The 4,720-nt window shown below is 37.4% G+C and overlaps 1 long non-coding RNA gene across 1 annotated transcript; it reads right to left on the bottom strand.

Moving 5' to 3' along the window:
- Window positions 1-382: 382 nt before the first annotated feature.
- Window positions 383-4,492, bottom strand: LOC105370657 (uncharacterized). Its single transcript, XR_944196.1, has 3 exons — window positions 4,363-4,492; window positions 2,486-2,550; window positions 383-623 (listed from the first exon to the last, which is right to left on the bottom strand). It is a non-coding gene; the product is annotated as an uncharacterized LOC105370657 (long non-coding RNA).
- Window positions 4,493-4,720: the final 228 nt, after the last annotated feature.

The following is a 4,720-nucleotide window of genomic DNA, read 5'->3' as shown; positions in this document are numbered from 1 at the left end:
TACTGGAAGGGAGGTTGGCAAGTGGAATCTAGCTTTGGGTCCAAGAAGAGGAGTATGTGGCATATTAGTGAGGGACAAGTCTGCATGTTTTTGGGTTCTGTGACAGTGAGGTGCTTTAGGACAGAGGATATGTCACACAACCACACATGCTCTGTACTCATGCCTCCTCCATGCTTGGTTTAGGTAAATAATAAATACTTCCTGGGAAAAAAGAACAAAAGAGTAAATAAATAAATAATGTATAACCATAATGTAATGGCCAAAGTGAATAGGTTTACCTGAAACCATTAATAAAACATTATTGCACATCACAATTTGCTTCTAACATATGCTTTATTCTACTTTGCTGTGTTCGACATGGCAGGAAGTGGAGTACAACCTGGATGTTTCAGACTCCTTCTCAAACTTTTCGACATTTCGATTGGAATTTCTATCATTTCACACCCGTCTTCTCTCACCAAATCTTGGGGAAGTTGGAGGTTTAACTCCTTTAGGTGGTGTTTGTTCTGTGGCTTCTTTTCCTCCAACTCCCCCACTTACTCTCCATTGTGCCACTGTTTTTTGTTTGTTTGTTTGTTTGCTTGCTTTTCTTCCTTACCCAGTGTCTTAGTTTGTTCCTGCAGCTGTAACAAAACACTTTAGTTTGAGTAACTTACAAATGACAGAAATTTATTACTTGCAGTTCTGGAACCTGGGAAGTCTAAGATCAAGGAGCCAGCAGATTCTGTGTCTGGTGAGGATTCACTCTCTGCTGCGTCCTCATGTGGCAGAAAGGGCAAACAGGCTCCCACAAGCCTCGTTTATGAGGACACGAATCCTACTTATGAAAGTTCTACCCTCATGACCTAATCACCTCCTAAAGGCCTCACCTCTTAATACTTTTGCATCGGGACTTAGGTTTCAATATAAATTTTGGGTGTGCACCAACATTCAGACCAGAGCAACTGGTCACAGATAAAATGGTCAGAAGTTCTATCTTGTACCACTTTCTACCATACAGCTCATAGTAAACCCCTCAGCTCAGGCCTTTTATGATTGTTGTTGATATAGAACCAGACTATTTTTCTTTATAAGTTTATGAAATTCTTTTATACATGAAAAAATTCACCTGTTAAGAACATTGTTTTTCTTTAGACACACAAAAAAAGTGTAAATGGAAACTCAAAGTTGAGTCCTTTGATCTACATTGTATCTGCCTTCTCTGTGAATATGTCATTGATATAATGGGGGTGGGCACAGCATAATTGGAAAAGGAATGGAAAACAACTACCTTAATAACTCAAAATATGATTGCCATTACAATAGTTTTGCCAAAACAAAGGGATGAAGAGCAACTTTATATTTATGTATGACACTTGTTCCTCTTTCATCACAAGTCCTCAACACAAGGTCCCAAGGAAATCTCAAAGGTATCCTGGAATGGTTAATGTTATGTGTCAACTTGGCTGGGCCATGGTTCCCAGATATTTGGTCTAACATTATTATGGGTGCTTCTGTAAGGGTGTTTTTGGATGATATTAACATTTACATAAGTAAACCCTAGGTAAAGCAGATTGCTCTCTCTGATGTGGGAGGGTCCATTCAATCAGTCGAAGGCCAGAATAGAACAAAAGACTGACCTCCCCTGAGCAAGAGGGAATCCTTCCAGCAGACAACCTTCAAACTTCATCTACAGGATCAGCTCCCTGGGTCTCCAGCCTGATGGCCCGCTCTGCGGATTTTAGACCTGCCAGTCTCCATAATCACATGAGCCAAAATCCTTAAAACAATCTCTCTCATATCTATATATACACACACATACATATATTTGTGTGTGTACAGGATGTACATGTATGTATACAAGTATGTAAGTATATACACATTCTATCGGTTCTTCCTCAGGAGAACCCTGACTAATACAGATCTCAAGGGAAAGAGGATTGTATTAATCCGCTCTCATGATGCTATAAAGGACTGCCCAAGACTGGGTAATTTACAAAGGAAAGAGGTTTAATTGACTCACTGTTCCACATGGCTGAGGAGGCCTCAGGAAACTTATGATCATGGTGGAAGGGGAAGTAAACATGTCCTTCACATGATGGCAGGAAGGAGAGGTGCCAAGCAAAAGGGGCAAAAGCCACTTATAAAACCACCAGATCTCATGAGAACTCACCCACTATCATGAGAACAGCAGCATGTGGCAACTGTCCCCATGATTCAATTATCTCCCACGAGGTCCCTCCCACAACACGTGGGGATTATGGGAACGTCAATTCAAGATGAGATTTGGGTGGGCACACAGCCAAACCATATCAAGGAGCCATCTGGAATCCCCCTTACGACGTTCCCTCTTCTACTTCTTGCTTTAACTTCCTCCCATCTAAGCATGAGGCTTTTTCCTCTAGAACATCAGGTCATGAGAGCCAATATAACTATCTCAGTCTACACATAGTTCTCCACTAGATGAGATTAGCATTTTATCAGTAGTCTGAGTAAAGCAGATTACCTTCTATAATGTGGGTGATTTTCACCCAGTCAGTTGAAGGCTTTACGAGAAAGCAGATGAGTCACCTGAAAAAGAGAGAGAATTCTGCCTCTAGACTGTCTTCAGACTCCACACTGCAACATCAACTCTTCCCTGGGTCTCCAGCTTGCCTACCAGGTTGCCCTGCAGAATTTACATGCTTCAGGGCCCAGAATCATGCCATCCAATTTCTTAAAATCTCTCTCTACCTCTGGCTCTCCCCACTCCCACTCCTCTCTAAACACTTGGTAAGTTAGTGACTCCAAATACCCTCTTTTTTCCCAAATGAAAAGATAGAAGTGCAAGATTTTTGTCACCTTGAGAATATAAACTTTTAGGAATGAAGATGAAATAGTTAAATGTCTACTTACATTTATTTCATTAATTTATTTACACATTCATATTGAAAATACCTGATAAATACAGCACTAACGGCAATATTGTGAATGAAATAAATCTTAAAAATATTATAAATTAAAAATAGACTACTTGGAATTTACCAATCACTTTGTCAATTTGCATTTTTTAGTTTGGATTTGTTTTGAATTTTACAAAATCAGAAAATTTTTAAAAGGTATCTAGTCAATAGTACTTACTTTAGTAATTCAGCTCAAATATTATCCCCTTGATAATTTCTAAGGAAAATGAATGTTTTCAGAATCTTATTTCTTAAGAATTCTTCTTTACTCCTTCTAATTTTGAGCAATACATGAATAATGAAAGCAATCATTTAAAAAACTTGAGAATTCCTTATTTCTACTTATACCACCAAAATTATTTTCTGAAAGAAATTTTCCATTTTAGTAATTGTAGTTAAGATGCCTCTTTAGCTTTGGGAAATTTGTCATAGCTTTAAGAGACTACTGACCACACTTTTTGCTGTTTTGCAATAAGCAAAAGAGCTTCTTTGGGACAGTCAAACTAGATTCAAATATGAGCAAAATATCTAAAAAGTTTGCTTAAACAATTTTTTTTTTTGCTTTGTACTAAACAATGGAGAAATTTTTCTAGGTACCTAAAAACCCAAATGTAGAGCAATTTCTTCTTTCTGATGGACATTTTTGGAGAATATATATTATCTTCCCCAAATAATATAATCCTTTGGGGAACAATCCTATAATAAAATAATCTTTGGGGGAACAAAGCATTTTCTGCCCAGAATGTTAGTGGGATGGGAGGAGAGACTGACCTGGGAGCCACTTCAGAACATCCTTCCTCCTTTTCTCCCACCCACATCCTCAATCTACTAAACTTAATGCAGTGGAAATACAGGAGCAAGTTATTTCAAATTATTGAGACGTGACCTATCCTCAATTGAACAATGCTGCCCAGTTGAAATATAATTTGAAATGCACACAATTTTAAGTTGTTTAGTAGCACTTTAAAACAGGTAAAAAAAAAAACCCAGCTTCAATTAATTTTAATAATGTATTCATTCCACACAATGTGTTATCATTCTAACACATAATCAATATGAAAGATATTAAGGAGATGTTTCATATCATTTTTTCCTAATAAGTCTTAAAAATTGGGTGTGATTTTTACACTTACCACGCATCTCTGTTTGGGTTCACTATATTTCAAAGCTCCCTGGGTGTCTGTGGCTAGAGGTTAACATATTGGACACTGCAGTTTTAGATATAAGGTGTATATAAATACATATATGTATGTGTGAGTGTGTATATATATATATAGTTGTTATTCTGTACAAAGGAACAAAAATTCTACAATTGCCAAGTGATTGAGTACCTAATTTTAAGGGGTAAGTTAGGGAAATGAAACATTTACTTCCAGGCAGTTCTGTTCCAGGCACATAGGTGTAATTTCTGAAGCAGACACTTTATCTGTTTGGAACTTACCCTTGACATGTTCTCTGCTGGGCTAGAGCAAGCTGGTCTTAGGTTCTCCATTCCCACAATTTGTATCATTCTCTTTCTGCTGCCGTCCAGGGGTCATGGTCCAAGGGTTGTGGAGAACTCATTGTTTTGAAATCTGTTATTCTACTGTCTATTAAAGGCTTTAAACTTTAAATGAGATACAATACACATAATAGAATTCAAGTTTTCACATATTAGACATTCATGAGGAAAGACTACTCTGCTTGCTATTGACTATTTGATGCAATATTAGTAGCGATCCTAACAGCGGTAATTCATTAAAAGCCTACTTCACACTTCACATTGCCAAGGTATTTAAAAATATGTCTCACTTTATTTA

This window comes from Homo sapiens, chromosome 14, assembly GCF_000001405.40.
Source record: "Homo sapiens chromosome 14, GRCh38.p14 Primary Assembly".
NCBI lineage: Eukaryota > Metazoa > Chordata > Mammalia > Primates > Hominidae > Homo > Homo sapiens.
Note: the sequence above shows the minus strand (reverse complement) of the source record. Positions and strands in the feature narration are given on the sequence as shown.